Below are 24,305 nucleotides of genomic sequence, written 5' to 3'. Positions count from 1 at the left end.
ATTTAAATGTGGGGATTGGAGGACATATTAGCAAAGGACACTCAGAATTAGAAGTAGAATTATAGAAAGCAATCTGGTAGAAGCCAAGGAAGAAAACATTTGAGAAATAACTCCAAAATAGGATAGAGAACACAAAAGTAGCCTCTGGGTGTTCACTGACATTTGATGTGTCAGTATCAGGAACCTGACTAGTACAAGAAAGGCTGTGAACATTATTCTATGACCTTACAGATCTGAAAAATCTATATGTTACAACGGTATAAGAATGAACATCATTATACCTTGTATTTTCAAAGTTTTTCTTGTAGTCGAATTCCTGATCAGAAGTTTGAATGGTTGTTACTGCTGTGTTTTTCATGTCAACAATTTCTTTTCTTTGTTTCCTGACAAGGTGTCCTCTTGCAGCTGAAACACAGAAAGCCCATAGTAGTGTTAATTATAAACAAATAAAAGAAATTTACTTTAAAGAGTAGAAATGGTGGCTTTGACCATTGATGTCAAAGAGGAAAATAAAATTAAAATGCCAAATAGAACAGGTTCACTTAAAAATGTGATTCATTAACAAGATTCTTCTACATGGCAAGCTATAGCAACAATAACTAAAGTAACTTTCATACTAAGAAGAATACTAAAATGAAATCAAAATGATAGAGATGAGCAAAGTTGATGACAAAGTGTGCTCATTTGCTTAAAATTCAGTAATAATCATTTTCATTTTTTTGCTATGTGTTTCATATATTTTGGCCAGATACATTTCAGATGATCAGATTGTATATTTGAGAATTCAGATTAATTTTTTTTAAGTTTTAGAAAGTTAATACAGAGCAAATATATATTCTGTAACATTCCCTGTGTCAGGGCAGCGCCCAATAATCAATGACTATTTCTTCAGAAAAACAGAATATTTTTACTAAGTTGGGGGAGTAAAGAACTGTAAATAACTTCACATCACATTGCTATGTTTTACTGCCAAAGGCTCTATGAAGAACCTTTTTATCAGAGCTTTATAAATTTTGAAATTGTGGATAAAGGATTAGAGCCCAAATTACTGAGTTTGCATTTTGATTTCTCAGTGAGAAGTTAAGGGCTTAAAATACAAAAAGAGATGAGGATGACTCATTGCTGATTGACAGAACGGGGATTGGAATGTTAATCTCTTGAATGTCAGTCAGCTCCTCTGCCCACGATATTAGTGTTCTTCAGAATGCAGGCTGCAAACCATTAGTGGATCATAAAATTGATGTAGTAGGCCAAATCTAGCATCTAAAAATGAAATGGAATAGACTAGAATTAAAAAGATCAGAACACAGTGCTTGTAGTGTGTGTGTGTATAGGTTAAAAAGCAAAATACATTTTTTTTCTCTAAGTATCCAGTCAAAAAAATTTGAAAGAGAGCATACTAGGCTGTGACAAGCTCTATCTAAATTTCATTTCTTATGGAAAAATAGAAAGCAAAATCCAAAGTCTATTAATACAGCTTAATAAAAGTATGTGAAGTAAAGTATGGTTATAAATATTATTTCTCTACAGTTAACAGAAATAAATGGATGCCCTTTAACAAAATAAGATTTAAGTTGTCAAAAATTATGGCAAGTGTAACCTTTGGAATAAAGTAGAAAAAATTCTTATTGTCCAATGAGCTATAATAATATGATTCTTGAGATCTATAATTAATTATTTGCTATATCTTCCACAATAGGTCAATTGTGTTCCATTAATTCTTGACAGAAAAGTTAAAAATTAAATTATTTAAGACAAAACGTTTATCCAAATATTAAAAGTGTCAATCACTAAAACAATTTGACTTAGATTTAATATAGCAAAAGTATCAAGGCAACACAGTCTGGAATTAAACACAAAAGCTACACAAGAATTGGAGGTTTGCCTGTAAGAAGTATTATAAGATTTGATTTTATGACCATATCTAAATATGTCAAAGAGATTACCTGACTGTATTATTATAGCGCTTTCTTTCCTTTTCTCCTGTATTTTTTGGTATCTTCTTGAACACAAGAATGCTCTGACACAAGCTTGAATCAAAATAAGCTTGTCAATAGCTTCCTTTCGCATTAGATTTAACTGCTCCACGTGATAATACTTAAGGAACACCTGAAAAATTAAAATATAATACAAAGAACCATGGCACACAGATGTGAAGCAGTTATGTGCTGTGCTTTGAAGAACAGAACACATTCTAAATTGCTTGAGATTTTGGAAATCACTGTCTTTTGCTTCTTTGCCCTAGATGTCACTATGACAGTACAGATTTTTATGCTTGAAGAAAACATTTCTTTGAGAAGAAATGCAGAAGGTGACAACCATGCTGTTTATTTACAACAGGTAACTAGGTTTTGTTGGATGAGACAATAAGAGTGGAGGATGTTGAGCTCTTTTAGCAAAGTTTCTAGCATCGTATATTCTGGGCTAAGCTAATTTTTATGCTTTTTATTTTTTAAAGGCAACTATATTTCCCAAATTAAAAAAATCTGAATAGATCTTATTATAAAGTAGAGGACAGAATTATAGTTCCGTTAGTTAATTCATCTAATGTTTATTAATGTTATTGAGACCTGTTACAGGTACGTATCTGCTGGGGATACAGAGATGAACAAGGCAGGTCACTGTCCTTTGGGGCTGGTATTGTTGTCAGTGAAGAGAATAAGGCCAAGAGAAGGCCCCAGGCAGATTTCATTAACAAGGTTCTCACTGGACCCAAAGGCTGCCATGGAGAAGGGAGGGCTGACTTTTGATTATTCTAAAATCAACATCAATTGGAGCAAGGGAGGAGCCAGAAGGCTTGGCGTGTTCTCATCTAACATTTCTCTCCCCTCCTCCAAGGAAATGAAAAGCTTGTTTTTTGTTTGTTTTCCTTTTAATGGCTAAATTTCCTAATAAAACTCATCTCAAAGAGTTTATTGAATCCTTCAAGAAAGTCACTTACATTCAAATTTTATGGCTGAGTCATGAGACCTGATAACCCTGACTGTAGAATTCTCTCAGTGTTCCATTACTTAAAAGCTTGGCACCATGGGTAAACACGTTTGTGTTACAGGTTTGATTTAATTCAGTTTTAATTTCTACAGGACTCTAGATGTTAATACATTTAGTCCATTCTGCTGTTGACAATTCATTTAAAATTCAATCTGTTTAAAAAGGTCATCATTTCTTTTTGCATGACATTAGAAATGTTCCTATATTAATACTTTCTATCCATGTTAATGAGTTGGAAAAGGTGAAGTGGAAGAATACAAATAGCTTTAAAATGCTACTTAAATATCATGCAGAACTATAACTGCAAAAGGCCTTTTTACAAGTTAAAACTCCATTTGAAGTTAGGCATGTGTTTCAGACCATAAATCATGAGATTTTAGCCTGATAAAATTGATCATTTTGAAATTTATAATCTAAGAGAAAATGGTGTGAATAAAATACTCATTTTTAATGCCCAAAATATCCCCTTACTAAAGTAAATATGGATTACTGAATACACAGGACACTCAGTTTAAGGTGGCTTTTTTTTTAAATCTCTTAAATTGTTACAGGGATAGTTTCTCATCCAAACATTATTAAAATTCTCTCCCACATCTCCTACACCCAAGACACAAATATTATAAATTTCTTTGCAAATATGGGAGTTTGTTTTGGTTTACTTCTGTGGTGTGGCTGATAGTAGGTATTCTTGAGTGGTCAATCTATGAGTATCTCTTGGCTTTAGCTTGGCTCTTTTCCTCATCCTCCCCGTGATACATTTCATATCCCCTTAAGATATATTCAGTGCACAATGGAACCCTGTTTATTTCCTGATCCCTGTCTCGTAATGCTATGAGAATACCTGAGAAGACCAATACATCCTTTCTCCAAACAGTGACCTCTCTTTCTTCCATGTTCAAGATTGGTTATGCTTTTTACTTTGTTCTCTAAGGGATTAAATAAGCTAAGATCTCACAGGTTCTGCAAGCTAATATATAAACACATCAATGTCCAATACATATAGCGAGTCTAGTAATAGTGGTGAATATTTTACTCCAGAAAAATTTCAAGTTTATGATAGAAGCAGGTCTGAGAATTAAGAAAAAAAGGAAAACACGAATCTTATTTGGATCATTATGATTCTCTACAGCTTTTTAACTATATTTAGTAGTGATAAACTAGAGAATATATATCTGTTTTCAATACCATCTGAAGTAAAGTACAATCATTATGGTTTATCCTTTTTTGATAAATCTTCAAGATAAATTTTTCTTGCATTTCTTTTTTTAAATTTCAATGTAAACTTTTCTTTAGAGTCAGGGTCTTAAGTTGCATAGGCTGGAGTGCAGTGGTGTGATCATAGCTATTGCAGCCTTGAACTCCTGGGCTCAAGCCATTCTCCCACCTCGGCCTTCCAAAGTGTTGGGATTAGAGGTGTCAGCTACCTTGCCCAGCCTTTTGTATTTCTTAAAAGAAATCTTTATGAAGAGCAAAAGCCTTTAATGTTGACGAAAAAGAAAATCTTTATGAGTTTATAACTTTACTTCCTCTATTGTAAGTTATAGATTCTATAACATAAAAAAACCATACTTTCAAACATTGTAAAATGTTACAATTCTCAGTGAACCCAGCATAATTATTTATTTTCCTGAAAATTACATGAAAACATTACTTTTGTTTTTCCAAGAGCCCAGTTATCGAGACCAGCTTTTTCCAAAATGGTGGCACAGGTGTCAGGGCTCATGCGGGGCTCCTCGCTCGACTTGTAGCAGAGAAGGTAGTACCTTGGAATGGAAAAAAGGGCTGGTTAGTATTGCATAAAGTGCCAACATCTCTGTAGCTTGGTGGTTCCCCAACAACTTAGTGCAGGGGCTGAGGAAGAGATGCCCAGACTTGATGCGGAGAAATCCTTTAGGCATCCTCAGAACAACTTCGGAGTAGACCAAATTCCAAACTGATGGAAACCCAGTCCAGTCTGTATAAATTTGAGCATTGTGTTTTCACCTTTGTGATCACCTTTCAAAACTTAATACTGCACTCCCCTGACAAGAACTCCATCAGTCAAAAAAATTAGCAGTTTTGTTTTTGTTTTTTCGCTACCTTTCTCTGGACACTAAAAAGTGCAGGACTGCAGTGGCAGGAAGCAGAAGGAATTATTTTTCACATTGAGTGTTAACAAAACTCTGGAAGCTGATCTTCAAATTGGGTGATGGAGCTTAATTCCAGTGAAACTTCCCATCACTGTATACATGCCTTCCATCATTGTTTTTCCTTGAGGGACACTATGTCTCCTGCTAGAGTTTTGCTCTATTGGTTAATCTATCCATAATCGAGGGAAGGAAAGAGGAAGGGCTAATGCAGGAAAGAACTGAAAGCAGGTCCTCAGGTTAAATCACAAGGCTTAGTGGGGAAGGGGATGAATTAAGGAAAGAAAATCTGCTTTACACTGGTCAATAATCTTGTGCAAAAAGACAGATTTCCAGAATTTTTAATACTCTACTATTTTTAATTTATTGGTGCAAGATTAGCCTGAAAGTCCAGTGCAACAAAGCAGCAAATTTTGGTAGGTTTTGAATTTCAAAAGAGAGGCCCTGATATGTAGACGGCTGAGGTGGCACGGTGACATGCAGAGCAGAGTTTTACCCTTGACTCATTAACTGTATATACTTGGACATGTCACAATTAAGTATCAATTTCCTCATCTAAAAATGAGTCCGGAGATAAAACCTCTAAAATGAACATATTTCAACTTTGCTAAGTTTCACCTCATTAAATCTGCAATGAAGTAGCTTCTGTTAGGCTCCGTGGAGAAGAATACTGGCCTAGAATGGTATAGAATGAAGTGACCATAACTTTTGCTGTTAGTGCAAATAACCCCAGGGAGTGCCTATTAGCCACTAGGCCTGCTCACTTCAGGACTAACTCGCTCATGTACACATGGTGACCCAGTAGCGGCGACTCTGCATTCACAGCCTGTCCATCAACTCTTGGCTTTCCTTCCTTCCAGAACCAGCCAGGGTCTCACAGTTCATCGCAGGAGCCACCCTTAGGCAGCCCCCGCACCTTTCCTACTCTCATTCCTTTGTTGTGCACTCCCTGCAAACATGCGTGCCTGGACCCGCCAATCATCTGCGTCTCTATCCTCGTGCCGGGCTTCAGAGCACAGCCAGAGAAAATCTTCACAGTCGGCTCCCTGTGGATGTGTGGATTCCTGACTCAGCCAGGCTCCCAAGAAAGCTCTGGATCCTGACCAGTGTCCAGGGCCACTTTCCTCTCTTCTTCCTCACAAAAGCGACTTAATTGCGTCCTGCTTTCTCCAAGTCTCCCAGCAGCCCCTGCCCTCCGTACCTCTCTCAGCAGACAAGCTTCTCTACTATATCACTGGAAGCCACCAGACACACAATTCATAGGCTTCTTCCCCAAATAAAAATTCATTTGTTCACTATCAATTTTCCCTCCTCCTTCAGAGGAGATTTTCATCCTCCGCCTGTGTTCTAGAGGCCATCTCCTCCTCCTTTTCTGTATATTTTCAATCTCATTTCTCTCTTCTGGCTCCCTCCATTTACAAAATGGATGTTTGTGTGTTGTTACAAAGCAAACACCTTAAGCCTCGCTCATCTGTAATGATTCTGTTTCTTCCACTAGCTTTGCTGATAAGTTGAAAGACGGTTTAAAATAATCGTCTTCACTTCCCATCACTCTTCACTCTTCACTTCCCATCACTTCTTCAGCTCCAAGAATCTCATTTAATCACATAGCAACAAGGCCTCTTATTTACTCATAAAGGATGCAGGAGTGGTGAAATCTAACAGGTCCTTTTCCATTCTAATTGTAAGCGTTTTTTCTGCAGCACTTGCTGTTATTGGCTGTTCTGTCTTGCTCTCTCCAAGGCTTCCACCTAATGTCCCCTGCCTCTCCTCCTCCCTCTTAGTCTCCCTGCATGCCCCATATTTAATGATTTAATGACTTGTTGCTTAAACGCTAGTGTTCTACAGTGTTCCATTTTTTTCTAAGCTCTGTCCACAGGCATCTCATCTACATGCTTGGCTCCAACTATTCCTGTATGTGGTGATTCCTAAATTTACACCATCAACCCTAACTGTTGATATCAACTCTAAACACATTATTTATGACTTCCTACTCTACATGCCCACCTGGTTAACTTTAAACTCAGCGACATTCATCACTTTTTCCTTCCTCCTCCATTTCCTGTCTCTATGAATGATATTACCACTTTTTAAAAGGTGAGCTAGAAATCTGTGTGCCAGCCTACTCTTCCCTATTCTTCACTCTATGGATCTAACAAGCTTAAAGTCTCTCTGGAATCCATTTGTTTCTCGCTATGCCTGCTGCCATTACCTTAATTGAATACCTCATCCCTTCTCACCTAGACTTTTGCAATTGCCTCCCAACTAGTTACCTCCACTGTCACTCCCCTGCCCTGCCCCAGCCACCGTCCACAGCTCTGTCTGAATTATCTTTTTTTAAATGAAAATCTGATCATGTCCTTTCCTGACTCGAAAAGTCTCTATGGATGTCCCAAGTTCTAAGCTGGGATGGCAAAATCAGGTGCTTTCAAAGTCTAGGCAGATACCATAAATATGGGAGCCTGGGAGCAGTGGGAATGTCGGAGGAGAAGGTTACACCTGCCAAAAAGCATTGGCTTTAAATTGTTTGCCACACATGATGACTACCATGCAAGCTCCCTTCTGCCCTCCTATATCCCTATCTGCCTTTCCAGCCTCCTCTTTGCTATTTTCCATGACACTCCGAGCTCCAGTCATGAAAGTTACTTAAAATTGTGCCAGAGGGCCATGTTTGCTCATGCTTCTATGCCTTCGTATGTGTAACTCACTACGCTTGCGCGCCCTTTCATCCCACTCCTAGTTTCCTTAAGGAAGACCTACTTTTTCAATATTCTAAAAACTCTCCTCAATGTATCTTCAATTAACAGATTAACTGGAGTAATGAAATTGTCTTTTCTTATGCAAAACGCACCAACTGAGGTCCGCTGCACACTTAAGGCTCAAGGCTGGCAGTTCTCACTAGTGCGCCCGTGTGTGTGTTTGCTCTCACTGGATGAGCTGTGTTTGCCCCCAAACCTGTTTATGCCAGTTGTATTTGGTGTGATGTTATTCAAATAAATATCAGATTGAAATCTAAGTGAGAAAGCCAGAGGATTGTTTCTATAAAACTGCATCAAATGCTTTGGTAAGACTTTATAAAGAAGTCTTGTAAAAAACCATGAAATTAAACGTGGATGAAGCAATTACAAAGCATTGAGGAAAATCATAAGAATCAAGAAATATTCAGTCCTGTGGCTGTTTCACAAGTATTTTTAATATCTTGCTTCACTCCAAGAAATGTTAACTGGAAATCATAAATGAGAGATTACAGATAGCTTATGCAAGAAAGAGCCAATAAACTATAATTAATAGATGTACACTCAAAGAAAAAAATTAAGCCTTTATCAAAAGGTTAAAAAACAAACTTACATTGATGTTGTAAGTAAAAATATTTTTGCTGTGTTTTATGTATTACTTTTATTATTCTCTGCTTTATCAGAATTTCTCATACAATCTAAACCATCCTTCCTTTATGCTCTCAGAGTATCTTCTTTATACTTTCATTAAAAATACCCGGTCTTCTTTCATTAATTTGAAAAATACTTGAGCACCTACTATTTATTTGCCAGGAACCCTTCTAGGTGCCTCAGACACAACAATGAACACAGGATACCCACACCCTTGCTGCCTGCAGCTGACTTTACATTGCATGATAATGCAGATTTTTAAAGCCCTGTTTCCATAACAGGTCTGTGAGTTTCTTAATGTCAGGGGCTCATCCATTAATCTTTGGACTTTGAATCTTTCAATTAAGATTTGAACTCATTTTTAGTTCAAGGACTGGAACACAGTGGGTCCCTCAACTAAACGTTTGCTGAATGTATAATGTGCTGTTGCTGGGACTTGTGGAAATAAATACTTAGGTAAGCCACACGTGCTTATGGAGGGCATCCCCTAGGCCACTATAGGTCATAGGTAATTTTGGGAGCTTGAGACTGAGGCAAAAAAAATAATAAAAATAATTATAGCTAATATGTATTGATGACACCTGGTTCTATCAATAAAATCCATATATATTATTTCACCTAATACTTATAAACACATATATAATGTAGATATTGTTATTATCATCCCTATTTTCAGCCAAGGACATTGAAGCTTGAAGCTTATAGAACTCAAGTAACTTTGAATAAGGCCACAGATTTAGTAAGTGGCAGAGTTGGGATTCAAACCCGGGTTTGCTGACTTCAAAGCATGGTACTTATCTACTCCACCATACTACTGCCTTCAGTAAGTTCTAGTTGTATTAGAGCTCTGGTAGCCAAACCATTATGTACAGGTGCTTAGTGGGAAAATGGAGCCAAGTTAAGTGGCTGGCTTGTTAGCGTAAGGGTTCCTTTGAAATAGCTGCAGTAAAAACCCAGTGTCTTGTGCAAAGTTCATGTTGTATATTTTTCCTTAAGATTGTTTCTTTGTTATAGAACAGAAGAATTTATCTACAACAGAACAAAGGGTCTGGGGAATTTTGCATCCTATGCAGAGGATTAGCAGTTCTATTTACACCCCCATAGAACCTCTGAAAATTGTTCTGCCTTCCTAAGAGTCTATGCCAATTTGGATGACAACTTCCAAATTAGTGACACAGAAAAGGTTTAGCCTTTTATTTCTGGAACTTCCTGTATTCAGAACAGCTATTCATGTGTTCTCTATACACTTAGTTTTATCCCCTTCTCTTTATTTATTGTGTAGTAATTTGCTATTCTGTAATAGCACAATAATTACAAATATATTTAAGAATTTATTCTCATTTCTGACATTTGAACTACAATATCATTAAGAAAATAGGTTTTATTCTCATTATGCTCTACATTGTAAAACTATGGTTATTTTTCAAGCTATAAGATTAGGCTGGTATTCAAGGCTCTCTTCATAATTTTAACACAATTGTTTTTTCATATTATCTTCTGTCACTTCACCAATGCAATGCCCACTCTACCAACCCAATCCAATCTAAGTCCCGCTAGCTTTTGGCACACCAACCTGTACACCAAGAAAACTCCTGTTTTCTCCATAAGCCGTACCCTCCTTCAAGTCCCAGTTTGAGTCCTTCTTCTTATTTTTTTATTTTTCATTTTTTTTAGAGATAGGGTCTTGCTCTGTCACCCAGGCTGGAGTGCAGTGGTATGAACATAGCCTCCTGTAACCTTGAACTCCTGGGCTCAAGTGATCCTCCTGCCACAGACTCCTGAGTAGCTAAGACTACAGGCATGAGCCACCACACCCAGCTAATTAAAAAAAATTGTTTTTAGAGATGGGGTCTTGCTACATTGCCCAGGCTGGTCTCAAACTCCTGGCATCAAATGATCCTTCTGCATTAGCTGAATGCCTCTTCTTGATATCCTCTCTCATCAGCCTTCCTGGAGATGCTCTTCCTTCCCTTGAACTCTTACACTGTGTATATCATTCTCTTGGCCTTGGCACTTATTACTTCACATTGCTTGTTAACTTTCCATGTCTGTGCCTCTGGTGATTCTAACTGGACTGTCCAATATTGAAGATCAAGCCACTTCTAAAATTCAGTGTCTCCCACAGTGCTTAGCATGGTGCCTTATACATTAAAAAATCACTGAAATTTAAGAGTACTTATATTAATATTACACTCATAATATCTATATTACTATTTAAGCAAATTAAAGATCTCATTTTTTTCTGAAACATGAAGTGCATGATAATAAGGTCAAATTTTAATCTTAATTTGATATTTGAAACTCCTTTGTATCTAGTATTTTTGGTTTACCTGCTTTCATGAGCAGGATGGAGAATTTACCTATTAGCCAATAAAAAAATTCCATTTTTTTATTTCTTAGTTTTGGTTATAAAATTGTGTCTGATCTGTAGGAAGTAAAGTTGATGATTAGCTGCTAACTAGATTTCTGGACTCTAAACTTGAGGTTTTGGTTTGTCTTAAACTACTATAAGGATTGGCCAACACAAAAGTCATATGTTTATGTAATTTTGATCTCCATCATGAAAAAGGTAGTAGAGTTTTCTTGATTTCAAAGCATTCCAAATAAATAATCCCAGGTCTCTAAAGAAAACCAAAATCAGCTGGGTGCAGTGGCTCACGCCTGTAATCCCAGCACTTTGGGAGGCCGAGGCTGGCGGATCACGAGGTCAGGAGATCAAGACCATCCTGGCTAACATGGTGAAACCCCTTCTCTAATAAAAATACAAAAAATTAGCCGGGCGTGGTGGTGGGCACCTGTAGTCCCAGCTACTCGGGAGGCTGAGGCAGGAGAATGGCGTGAGTTTGCACAGAATGCAAGCTCACTGTGAAGCGGAGCTTGCAGTGAGCCAAGATTGCGCCACTGCACTCCAGCCTGGGTGACAGAGCGAGACTCTGTCTAAAAAAAAAAAAAAAGAAAAAGAAAAAAAAGAAAAACTAAATCAAGAACTACCACAAATTTGCTGAACATATAAAAATTAGCAGAAATAGGCCAGGCACAGTGGCTCATGCCTGGAATTCCAGCACTTTGGGAGGCCAAGGTGGGCGGATCACGAGGTCAGGAGATGGAGACCATCCTGGCTAAAACGGTGAAACCCCGTCTCTACTAAAAGTACAAAAAATTAGCCGGGCGTGGTGGCGGGCGCCTGTAGTTCTAGCTATTCAGGAGGCTGAGGCAGGAGAATGGTGTGAACCCAGGAGCCGAGATCCGGCCACTGCACTCCAGCCTGGGCAACAGTGCAAGACTCCGTCTCAAAAAAAAAAAAAAAATTAGCAGAAATAATCAGAATTCTCATCACATTTAGAAGGAGTCTTGGTTACTCCAAGTAAAAGAATGGCTAATAAAATGCATAAAGTTTTACGGAGGAGGGGAGGAAAATTAGAAATCAAGTTTGATGTGCAATCACAAAACACGGTTTTGTTCTTAATAGTAATTTATATACTTTGAAAAAGGGTGAAGAATATTATAAATGGGACTTCCTCAAATACTGGGTTTCACCTGAAAATTTTAATAGACTTCATCTTTAAAAATGGAAATTTCATTATGTTTAATGACCAATAGAAATGATAGAACTGAAAAAATATAAAAAATATGGGCATTTAAAATATTAAATATATAAGATATTGAACCTTCACATTACTAATAACGTATTACTCAATAAAATATATTTAGTATATAGCTTAATTTATTTTATGTTAATCTCAAATATTAAAAGGAACTCCTTGGCTGGGCGCAGTGGCTCACGCCTGTAATCCTAGCACTTTGGGAGGCCAAGACGGGTGGATCACAAGGTCAGAAGATCGAGACCATCCTGGCTAACACGGTGAAACCCCCATCTCTACTAAAAATACAAAAAAAATTAGCTGGGCATGGTGGTGGGCACCTGTACTCCCAGCTAGTCGGGAGGCTGAGGCAGAAGAATGGCATGAGCCTGGGAAGCAGAGCTTGCAGTGAGCTGAGATCGCGCCACTGCACTCCAGCCTGGGTCACAGAGCCAGACTCCGTCTCAAAAAAAAAAAAAAAATAAAATAAAACATTCCTTATACCAATTGATTCTTTTAAAAAAATTTATGTTAGCTTTTTAAATTGACACATAAACCTAATTGTTTCATCTTCCAAATCACCGTTAGAGACAGTATCTCATTTGATCATTATAAGGATCCTATCAGGTAGTTAGAGCAGATTTGGTAGGCGAGTAAAGTGAGGTTAGGGTTATAGGCCAGGGTTTCTCAGCCTCAGCACTGTTGAGATTTGGGGCTGGATAATTCTTTGTTGTGGGGAGGCCATCCTGTAAATTGTAGAATGGCTGTTTAACAGCATTCCCAGGCCTCTACCCACTAGAGGTCAGTAGCATCCCCCCACGCCCCTACACCACACAGGATGTGACAACCAGAAATGTCTCCAGACATTGCCAAGTGTCTTTTGAGGGGCAAAATCTCTCCCAGCTGAGAATCAGTGGTATAGGCCTACAGTCACATAGCAAGTGGCTGAGCTAGGGCGAGAACCCAGATTCTCCAACTCCTCAGTACAGAAGCTCACGCCTCTGGATCATGCTGCCTATACCACATAGTACCACCCATCTGTCCAGAGTCTTTCAGCCTCAGTTAATAGCTATCTTCTTTTTTCAACACATAATCATTTGCATGAACAAAATGCCTCCCTCCTAGACCTCTAAAGATTTTTTCATATTATGTTTCTTATAATTCTTCTGAATGATTTTTATATAAACTGCACAATAGAAACTGAAAAAGAAATCCACATACCGCTTTATAAAGTTAGCAAAAAGTATCCGATGGGAGAATCCTAGTCTTCGAATTCTTGCTGTTTCCAGAATTCCTGTGTACCGAAGCTGTAGCAGAACTTTCTCTTTGTCATATTTTCTTGCCTGACGCTCACTATTTGGTTTGATGCAACGGACAAAATGAGGTTGGCCCACCACCATTTTAGACAACAAATCCATCAGGGAATACTATAATACACAACAAAAATAAATTTCCCAATGTAGCATACAAAAACGTATGAGCTTGTAGGCCTTTCTTTTTACTACAAGAATAACATTCAAAAAATGAATGTTATAAATGCTCCCATTAGTCACAGTAAATGGAGGAAAATCTGTTTTAATGAACATTTTATTTATAGTATAGTTCTAAAAAATACAGATTTACTTATAAAAATGTAGAGGCAGTAACTAGAAATTTAGCTATTAAAAGTTTGCTTATAAACCATTAAGGCAACTTTAATTAACAGATAAAATTATTTTTGATGTAGTTTGTAAGCAATTATATACTCTTAGGCTAACTTACCAAATTATAATATTATACAATCTTACTAATCCTTCTTATATATTAATTTCCTTGTCCAACTCTCTCTTTATAGATGGTAAAAAAGGGAATACTTTACAACAGACACTGGAGCTTATTGGAGGGTGGAGAGTACGAGGAGGGAGACGATCAGGAAACATAACTAACGGGTACTGGGCTTAATACCTGCATGATGAAATAATCTGTTCAACAAACCTCCATGACACAGCTTCACCTATATAACCAAACTGCACATTTACCCCTGAACTTAAAATACAATTAAAAAAAAGGGAACACCTTAATCCCTGTTAGGATCATCTCTTAGTTTAAAATAAGGACAGAAAAGTCAATAGCGTTTAATATGTAAGAAGTAGATATAAGCAAAGTGAAATCCAATTAAATATTTTCATCAGTTCTAATTTGATCATTTTCTTATTTATTTTTGGATAATTTAAAAAATTCACATAGATATGAAACTGTGTTCTATAGCAATACCTTATTAAAACAGTAGCCAATTACTAGACAAGTAAGTATAACATATTAGGATAATCAACTAAAAGTGGAATCCCAGAAAGCGAGTATCTCAAAGACCAGGATCACATTTATTGGTGAGGTAATGTATGGACACAAATAGCAATTGACGGCTGGATCCCGTTTAGTGTTGGAAATGTAAGAGCCTACAGTCATAAAGCCAGTGCAAAACAAATGCTGAAATTGGCAACCGACAAAGCTCTGAATTTGCATGGCTTCCTCTTGGGCACTGAGGCTCAGATGTGATCTTTTCAAACAGCTGGGCCTGTCACTTTGGAGCCTTTTTCATTACATTTATCTGTAAGTCATCATTCCTTTACTCGTGCGAACATCTGCCAAGTACTGGTGGTACAGGGGTGATACTCTAAGCAGGACCTTCCTGCAATTTAGGCGCTGGTTTTTCTGAGGGACTAAAGCATAGTGTTACACTGTGTTCAGTCTTCTCTGCAGAATGAAAATAGCTTTAAAAACACACTTCATGTTAGGTGGGATTATCTTCTATCATTTCTCACTTCAGCCTGAAGATTAAAAAGATTTCATGAACTAATCTGGTTTAAACATACATACAGTGTTTGATGCCAACAACAGTGGTATGATAATGGTGTTGGGTAACTCACTTAAAAAAAGGAAACAACTTGGCTGTAAATACGTTCAGTGATTCACCTATGCTGCATTTCTGATGTAAAGTGAAATGTATTAGCAACAAACGTCAGGTATTAAGCATATAAATGTACTGGCACTACTCAAAGATGATTAAGTACACACTGTCTTCTATGAGCTTCGGACTTAAAAAATATTTAGTAAAGGTACTCATATATTTTTTAAAGAATTTTATGTTTCTGCTAGAGAGTTGGATACATTCACTGAACACTTAGAGTAAATTTAATCTAATTTCCTCCACCTCCTCCACATTAAATTACATAAGTAATAACTCCAAGTTTTAGTGGTATTTTCTTCATTTTCATTGGATGGTTAATAGGTTTTTATCAGAATAGGTAAACAAGAACTGGAACCAATAATGGGAGGGTTATCTAGAGCACAGAGGAAAAAAAAGTACTTGGTTTTTTTCTTTTATCCTACATTGCCCAAGGAAGGAAGGTCGCCTTGATCCTATGCTAAGCACACTCTCTTAAGCACGTTACCGCATCTTCCTGATGACTCTTCTCCTCGCACCATTCCTACACGGGCTCTATTTTCCTTTTGAGGTTTTTAGCTCTGTACAGGCAGGGTGATATGAAATGGAGATGGATGCTCAGCCTTGCCCTATCTGTCTACTCTAAAATCATTCAGGATGGGGAAGGAGAATTGGTAGTTATCATAGCATTGAAGTAAAAATCCTTTTAGGTTTTATTCTAGTGGAAATGCATTCTGTTCTATGGACAAATTTTAATCAAGGTATAGACTTTCATTAAGATTGACCTGGGATACAATAATTTCACAGGTAGAATGTAAAAATAAACCAATCTGCAGATTTTGAAGGTAGATGCTAACATATCCTGTATCTAACAATAGTAAATGGAATACAATAAACATTCTCTTTGCTAGTGTTACTGGCTTTTGATCTGTAACTCATTTAGACTAAATAGCACCCCTAAGCACAATACATCATAGTTTAATATCTTACTCTAAAATATGATGCAACCGTTTGTGTTTTCATGTTGGTTGTCTCTCTGGCATGACGTGTGGCTTCTCCAGTGTCGCCCTAAGGAGACCAAGGAAGACAGTGATGCCTTGGTATCTATTGTACTTTATTATCTACAGACAGCATGTGGCATTTTCCTTCAGGCTATCTTAGTTTATGCATTCAAATATGTAAAACAGCAAAATGTTGATATTCTTCCTTTAGGTAATTGTTTTGTCAGTCTCATTGGAATTTTAATTGGTCTTATGTAGACTGTGAATATCTCTCATCTTCACTAGTACATTTTTAGTTGGTCTTAGTGTAACATTTAAAACTAGCTAAAAAAGGGCTAGGCATGGTGGCTCATGCCTGTAATGCCAGCACTTTGGGAGGCCGAGGCAGGCTGCTCATTTGAGGTCAGGACTTCAAGACCAGCCTGGCCAACATGGTGAAATCCTGTCTCTACTAAAAATAGAAAAATTAGCTGGGTGTGGGTGGGTACCTGTAATCCCAGCTAATCAGGAGGCTGAGGCAGGAGAATCACTTGAGCCTGGGAGGCAGAGGTTGCAGTGAGCTGAGATCATGCCACTGCACTCCAGCCTGGGTGACAGAGTGAGACTCCAGTCTCAAAAACAAACAAACAAACAAAAACAAAAACTGCCCCCCAAAAACTAGCTAAAAAAGAAGAGTTGGAAATATTAATATATCAGAAATGCATGATTATTTTAGCCCCTAGCAGTAACAAGAACATAACATAAATATCTGTTCAAACAGAAAAGCAAGATCAAAGGGAGAAAAACTAAGAAAAAAACTGTTGACTTTGAGAAGCATACAAATATTGCCATCATACCGGTTAGATTCTTAGACTCACTGCCAAGAAAAAAAGCATTTTCTTACCTTTGCCAGGTTGATTAATTTTTCTGAAGTCCTCATTTGATAGTTTATAACATTTTTAGTTTTAGAATGTGGCAGATTACCTATGAGAATGTAGAAAAATGTAATATACCTTTTAGAATCCTTAATGGCTAGATGATTTTTCCCATTTACTTAAATGTTAAAATAAGCATTGTTAATCCTGCAATATTCATAATCATATGCTTGGTTAACTATTTATGGAGGAACTTAGGAATAAAAAAAATTATGTAAAAATGTACAACAAATTTTAAATTCAGAAAAAAACTCTTGAGCTTGGAAAACAGAAAAGGCTGAGGTGTTGGGTTTCCTTTGAATTGCTAGAAGACTTGAGATGATTATGATTGAGGGAGCAGTTTGCTTCTTATTTTTTTGTGTGATAAATGGCATCTGAGATTTTCTTTAACACAGGCTAAGCTTTACAATTGGCCTGAAAAATCATATGAATCATTAATTTGCATGAGGTGGTTATAAGCAAATCAACTATGGTTGGAGGCAATGGCCTTTTTCAATCTAACTTTCAGAAACGTGCTTCATTCTAAGGACTACACAAATGCACACAACCCAAAACAGTGAAAAAATTATGGCCTGAGAAGCCAGAAAGACTTGGCTTTGAATCCCAGGTATAGTACTTAAACTGTGTTGCCTTTGGGTCATTTACTTAGTCTCTGATCTGCACCCAGAATCCATAAAATGGGAATAATGGTGATTTCCTCACAGAGTTTTGATGAAATGCGATAATATGTCTGGCACATGGAAGGCCCCTGAAATGCAGTTCACTTTCACAGCTCTCACCCCACCAAGCACAAGGAACCAACCAACCCACAATCGAAGAGTTTATTATCCTAATAGTAATGTGCAAAATATCTTCAAAATGCAGTATCAATTCAGAAAGATCATTTCTTGTCTCTCTCCTTCTTCTAGGTGATAAGTAGAGGCTGAATGTTTTTGGCAAACCTTTCCCATTCTTTATGGTTGCAAAAGGCTGGCCTAAGATGGTGCAGGAAGGAATCATGATGGGAGTGTGCCTGGCAGGGCCTCTGCTCTGCTTCCTCCCCTCCATCCGAACTCCAGGGGAGGGGCTGAGACGGGTGTGTGCCACAGTTTCCATGCTAGGCTTGCCCTGCACACTGCCCTGTTCACTTTTCAAAATGTGAAACTTACTGACTACAGCAGAGTGGACAGATACAGTAACAGATGATCTTTAGAGTGGCAGTTTCAGGAATTTCGCTTAAATTTATTTATGTAGATCAACGGGAACTAAAATTAGCATAGACCTTAATTTCTGAAAATATATCCATTTTGGTTTTTATAGCTCACCTAATGAACAAACTTGTGATAAACCCAACTAAAGACGTGAGCTGCAAGTAACTGTGGTGCACTTTCCCCTAAAAATGGCTGAACTGTATGTCATATGTGAAGTCATATATACAAAGGGCCATGGTTATTTTAGAATCTTGAAGACATCATAATATAGAATTGAAGAACTCTAACTCTAACATTTTCCATTGGGAAACCTTGGGAAAGCTGCTCAACACTTTCAAGCCTTAATGTCTTATTTGTAAAAAAGTAGTGCCTCCTTATTGTGTTGTTATTAGGAGTAATTGAAGGTGCTTAGCACGGTGCCTAGCACATAATAGATAACAAAGTTGTCTATGATTATTATTACATGTTTGCACATCTGGGTGAATATAAAATCCATATGTCTTTGCTATCTCTGAGGTTCTGAGTTTATTGAAACATACTTGACTATTAAGTTCTTCTCTTCTCCCTGGCCAACCAGACACTGTTCTGCTGATAGCCAAGCAACACAACATAGTATTTAGAGCCTGGCTGCATATTTTATAAGGGCAAAAAACATGGAATTAGATGGATAGATGCTGTTGGTGTATATGAAAAGGGATGGCAATTGTTAAAGTCAAAATTAATGACTTTTGCTTCTGGGTCAGATAAAGTAACACCGACTAGATTAACCTTCGCACCTCAAACAACTAAAAAGACATACAAAATGAAAAACAGGTTTCATACATTGTGCGTCAAGCAGTGTAAGGACATTGATCCCTAAGAGAGGGAAGACAAATGAGGTGAGCCCTCTGATTGTGCCAGCTTTCTGCCTGGAGAAGTGTCAGCCTGAAATGCAGCGAGTGAGGGAACTCAGGTAAAGCCTGGGAAAATAAGCCAATATAACCAACAGAAAACAAGTGGCAAGATGATAAGAGTCAAATCCAACCATATCATTAATCACATTAAATGTAAATCATCTAATCATCTCAATTGAAAGGCAGAGATTGTCAGACTGGATTAAAAAAAACCAAGACGCAACTATGTGCTGTTTAGAAAAACCCTACTTTGAATATAAAGAAAAACAATAAGTTGAAATTAAGAGTATGGAAAAAGATATGCCATTCACTCACTAATCATAAGAAAGCTGGAGTCTCTATATTAATATTAGGCAAAGTAGATTTCAGAACAAACAATACTGCCAAGGATGAAAAGGGTCATCACATAACAAAGGAGTCTATCCATCAAGAAGACATAACAATTTTAAATGTTTATTTACCTAATAATATAGCTTAAGAATACATGAGCAAAAACTGAAAAAAAAAGAGAGACAAATTGACAGCTATAGCCAAATATTTAAAAATCCCTCTCTCAGTAATTGATAGAACCAGGAGAGAGAAAAACAGTAAGAATACAGAAGATGTGACCAATACTCTCAATCAAGTGGACCTAATTGACATTTATGGAACATTTCATCCAACAACCAGCAGAATAAACAATATTTTCAAGTGCAAATGAAAATAAAATAAGACAGATAATATTATGGGTCTTAAAACATATCTCAATAAAGTTAAATGGATTAAATAACACAAAGTACGCTCTCTGAACACTATGAAGTTAAATTAGAAGTCCATAAATAATATTTGAAAAATCTCACCATATTTGGAAACCTTATAAACTCTTATAAATAACCCATATAAGTGCTGATATTAGAAAAATGTCTTCTTAAATCAATGATCTAAGTTTTACCTTAGAAATGAAAAAAGGAAACAAAATAAAACACAAAGTAAGCAGAGAAAGAAAACAACAAAGATAAACGAGAAAGAAAAAGAGAATGAAATAGAAACAAAACCAATAAAAAAACCAATGAAACCATTTGAGAAGATCAATAAAATTAACACATGTCTAGGAAATCTATCAAGAATAAAATGAGAGAAGACACAAATTACCAACGTCACTTATGAGACAGCTGACATAACTTCAGGATCTACAGATACTAAAAGGATAGTAAGAAAATGTTGTAATCAACGGTGTCAATAAATTTGACTATGTAGATGAAATAAATTTCTTAAAAAACACAATCTACTAAAGCTCACTCAAAAATTAGATAACTCAGATAGCTTTATATTTACTAAACAAATTGAATTTGTAGTTGAAAACCTCACAAAACATCCTTCAGGCCCAGTTGGCTTCATTGGTGAATTCTACAAAGCAACTTAGGAAGAAATAATACTCATTCTACTATTCCTGAAAATTGAAGAAAAGGCAATATTACTCAATTTATTCTATGAGGCCAGCATTACTGTGATTCCAAAGTCACAAAATGAAGCATAAGAAAACTATAGTGCAATATTCCTCATAAACAAAGATGCAAGCATTCTTAAAACATGTTTGCAAACTGAATTCAGCAATATATAAAAAGTACAATGCATCATGACCATTTGAGGTTTTTCCCAGGAATGATTAAAAAATCAGTCACTCACCATTTAACAGATACAGCATTGTTCATAATAGCCAAGATATGATCAACCCAGGTGTCCATCAATGGATGATTGGATAAAGAAAATGTGGTGTCTACACACACACACACACACACACACACACGAATACTATTCAACATGGTTGAACCTGAAGGACACTATAAGTGAAATTAGCCAGTCAAAAAAGACAAATACTGGATGGAATTTGTGGAATCTAAAAAAGTTGATTTCATAGAGCTAGAGAGTGGAATGGTGGTTACTAGTAGTTGTGGTGGTTGCAGTGAGAAGAGGTAGGTTGGGGAGATGCTGGTCAAAGGATAAAATGTCAGCTAGATAGGATACGTAAGTTCATAGTATTATATACTTGAAAATTGCTAAGAGAGTAGATTTTTAAGTGTTCTCACCACAAATAATTATATACAGTAATGTATATGTTAATTAGCTGGATTTCATTATTCTACAATGTACGTATATTTCCAAATGTCATTTGTATACAATAAACACAATTTTAGCTGTCAATTTAAAAAAATAACAAAAAAAAAGGGTAATCTATTCAGTAGATGTGGAAAAAGCATTTAACAAAATACTATATGCATGCCTGATAAAAACTCAGGAAATTGGCCAGGCGTGGTGGCTCATACCTGTAATCCCAGCACCTTGGGAGGCCGAGGCGGGTGGATCACCTGAGGTCAGGAGCTCAATACCAGCTTGGCCAACATGGTGAAACCCTGTCTCTAGTAAAAATACAAAAATTAGTTGGGCGTGGTGGTGCACGCCTGTAATCCCAGCTACTCGGAAGGCTGGAGTAGGAGAATCTCTTGAACTTGGGAGGCAGATGTTGCAGTGAGCCGAAATTGTGCCACTGCACTCTAGCCTGGGCAACAGTGTGAGACTCTGTCTCAAAAAAAACATGAAAAACAAAAACAAACAAACGAAAAACAACCAACAACAAAAAAAACCATTCAGGAAATTAGGAATTAAAAAAAAAAGTAACTTCTCCCCTGATAAAGGGCTTCTATGAAAAAATCTACAGTTAACATTATACTCAGTGGTGAAAGACTAAAAGACTAACTACTCTTTCCCCAAGATCAGGAAAAAGGCAAGAGTGTTCACTCTTGCAACCTGTCCTGTGTTCAACACTGGTGATTGCATTGTGATTCTAGCCAGTGCAACCAAGAAAAAAGAATTCAAAAGGAAACATATTGGAAAAGAACAGGCAAAACTCTTTCTTCACAGACAACATGATCAATCTGTGAAGAAAATCCTTTGGAATTAACAAAAAAAAGCTACCCTGATAAATGAGCTTAGCAAGGCTGCAGGGCAAAAAATCAATATACAAAAATCAATTAGACTTCATATACTGGCAAAAACCAGAATTTCAGTTAAAAATTACCATTTATAATCACATAAAAATGTGATACACTAGCAGATAATTTGGCAAAGGATGTGCAAAACTTGTACAGTGAAAACTACAAAATGTTGCTGAGAGAAATTAAGGGAGACTTAAATAAATGGAGAGCTATACTGTGCTGATTGGAAGATTTAATGTTGGGAAGATACCAATTCTCCCATTATTGATCTATAGTTTCAGTGCATTCCAATCAAAACCCAACCAGGATTTTTGGTAGAAATTGACAAGCTCATTCTAAAACGTATATGGAAAAGCAAACAAATTATAATTACCTAAACAAGCCTGAATAAGAACAAAGTCAGGTTAACTTGTACTGCCTGATTTCAGGACTTTATAGAAAGCTACAGTAGTCAAGAAGTGTGCATTAGCCTAAAGATAGATAAATATCAATGACACCCAATAAAGAGTCCAGAAATAGACCTATTTATTAGTCAATTGATTTTTCAAGGAGTGTCAAAGCAATTCAATGGGGAAAGAACAATCTCTTCAACAAATGGTGATAGAACAGAGAGGTTTGGAGGGAAGGATTATAAAGGGTCATGAGAAACATCATTTGTGAGTGATGAGTATGTTCACTATTAATCATGGTGATAGTTTTACAGGTGCTTATATATGTCAAAAACTCATCAAATTTTACTGTTTAAATATGTGCTGTTTCTTGTATTTCAGTTATACTTCAATAAAACTATGAAAAAAGAAATGCAGAGAACAATTTTAAACTCCAGTAAAGAAAAACAACCCAAACTATATTTTTTCTACTTACAGCAAATGCAAGGATGTATTATGGTTGGGTGGAACAAAGACACGTCCATTTTTAATCAATAAGAGAGCCCACCAAACTTTTGGAACCTCAAAGAATCATCCAAAAGCTGCCCACTCCTGATTTGCCCAGGTAATTCTGAACTCTGGAGGTCAGTATACTCTTGTAGTGAGTAGCTAGGATACCACCACATTTTCTGCATGACTGCTGCAAACACTTACCTTTAATGAAAAACTAGCTTATTTATATTCATTTTTATATTTTCTTCAGATGATCTGGGGCAGAGGATATTAACAAATGAATATTTAGTGAGCCGAAAACAAACTCACATGAAAAATTAAGGATGAAATTAGTGAAAAGCGCAGAGATAGAAACTATTTGATTGGGCTTCAGAAAACTTCCAGGTAAGGAAAATTGTCTTACCTGTTTTGGTCAGAGGGTGGTTGACTAGTTGCCTAATTACACTGTTGTCGGATGACCTCAAAAGTAGCACAATGTCAGTAGGAAGAGTGTCTCTGTTTTTGGCTAAGAATCCACTTGCATTATAGAGGACCTGTTGATACAGTATGCTATAATTATCACAATCAATGTCATTGTCATCCTCCTCCTCCTCACCATCATCATCATCAACAACAGATACTCATTATGAGCTTACTCTATGTTCAGCAACAGTGATACAAGCATTTACTAAGGTAGCCCCTTATCATCTTAAGGTAGCTCCTTATCATCTTAAGGTAGCTCCTTATCATCTGTGTCTCACTGATTTTATTTGGGTTGAAATGACCAAAGAGGTTTGATTCCTCTCATTTATTACATTAGGAATTTGGTATGTTTCTTTTCTCTGTTTGGAGGGATGGAGCAGCATAAAGGAAGCATATTGAGCCACAAAGGCATTCCTATTTCTATGATAATTGATCCACCTGTGTTGAATTGGCCATGATAGATTTTTATCTCAGTAGTAGTGTGATTTAAAAACACTGTGGCTTTTTGTGTTTCTGGCACTTCTAAATAATGTTATTACTTAAAAAAAAGTTTAGAGATGAGGTCTTGCTATGTTACCCAGGGTGGTCTTGAACTCCTGAGCTCCAGTGATCCTCCTACCTCGGCCTCCCAAAGTGCTAGGATTACAGGCGTGAGCCACCATGCCTAGCCAATTTTACGACTTTTTAAAGATCAATGTTATCCAAAGATTTTTGTGGAAATGATCCAATATAGTATTTGTTATGGGTCAAATTGTGTTCTTCTAAAATTCAGATTTTGAAGATGTAAACTTTCACTGTGACTGTATTTGGAGACAGGGCCTTTATGGAGGTAATTAATGTTAAATAAGGTATAAGAGTAAGACCCTACACCAATAAGACTTGTGTTCTTATAAGAGCAGGAAGAGGAACCAGGGATATTTCTCCCCACTCCCTATGCTCACATAGCAAAGGCCATGTGGGGACACCTTGAGAAGGTAGCCATCTT

At 36.9% G+C, this 24,305-nt stretch overlaps 1 protein-coding gene across 22 annotated transcripts in view; it reads right to left on the bottom strand.

Moving 5' to 3' along the window:
* MYO3A (myosin IIIA) overlaps positions 1–24,305 on the bottom strand; it is a 278,304-nt gene that overhangs the window by 41,712 nt on the left and 212,287 nt on the right. For 21 of the 22 annotated variants that reach the window (XR_930494.1, XM_011519498.3, XM_011519500.3 and 18 more), the window contains 7 exons: positions 23,262–23,391; positions 16,892–16,971; positions 15,998–16,075; positions 13,306–13,511; positions 4,643–4,754; positions 1,947–2,109; positions 282–405 (listed from right to left, as the gene is read on the bottom strand). Coding sequence is in view for 21 of the 22 variants with exons in the window: in XM_011519498.3 (XP_011517800.1) it covers positions 282–405; positions 1,947–2,109; positions 4,643–4,754; positions 13,306–13,511; positions 15,998–16,075; positions 16,892–16,971; positions 23,262–23,391 (893 nt within the window). In the remaining variant the exon portion in view is untranslated. Of the gene's footprint in view, positions 1–281; positions 406–1,946; positions 2,110–4,642; positions 4,755–10,114; positions 10,663–13,305; positions 13,512–15,997; positions 16,076–16,891; positions 16,972–23,261; positions 23,392–24,305 lie in introns of those variants that run through there. The other variant, XM_011519511.3, reaches the window with a different exon arrangement.

The sequence above is a fragment of the Homo sapiens genome, chromosome 10, assembly GCF_000001405.40.
Source record: "Homo sapiens chromosome 10, GRCh38.p14 Primary Assembly".
Lineage (NCBI taxonomy): Eukaryota > Metazoa > Chordata > Mammalia > Primates > Hominidae > Homo > Homo sapiens.
The sequence above is the reverse complement of the archived record's forward strand: the minus strand, read 5'-3'. Positions and strand labels throughout refer to the sequence as shown.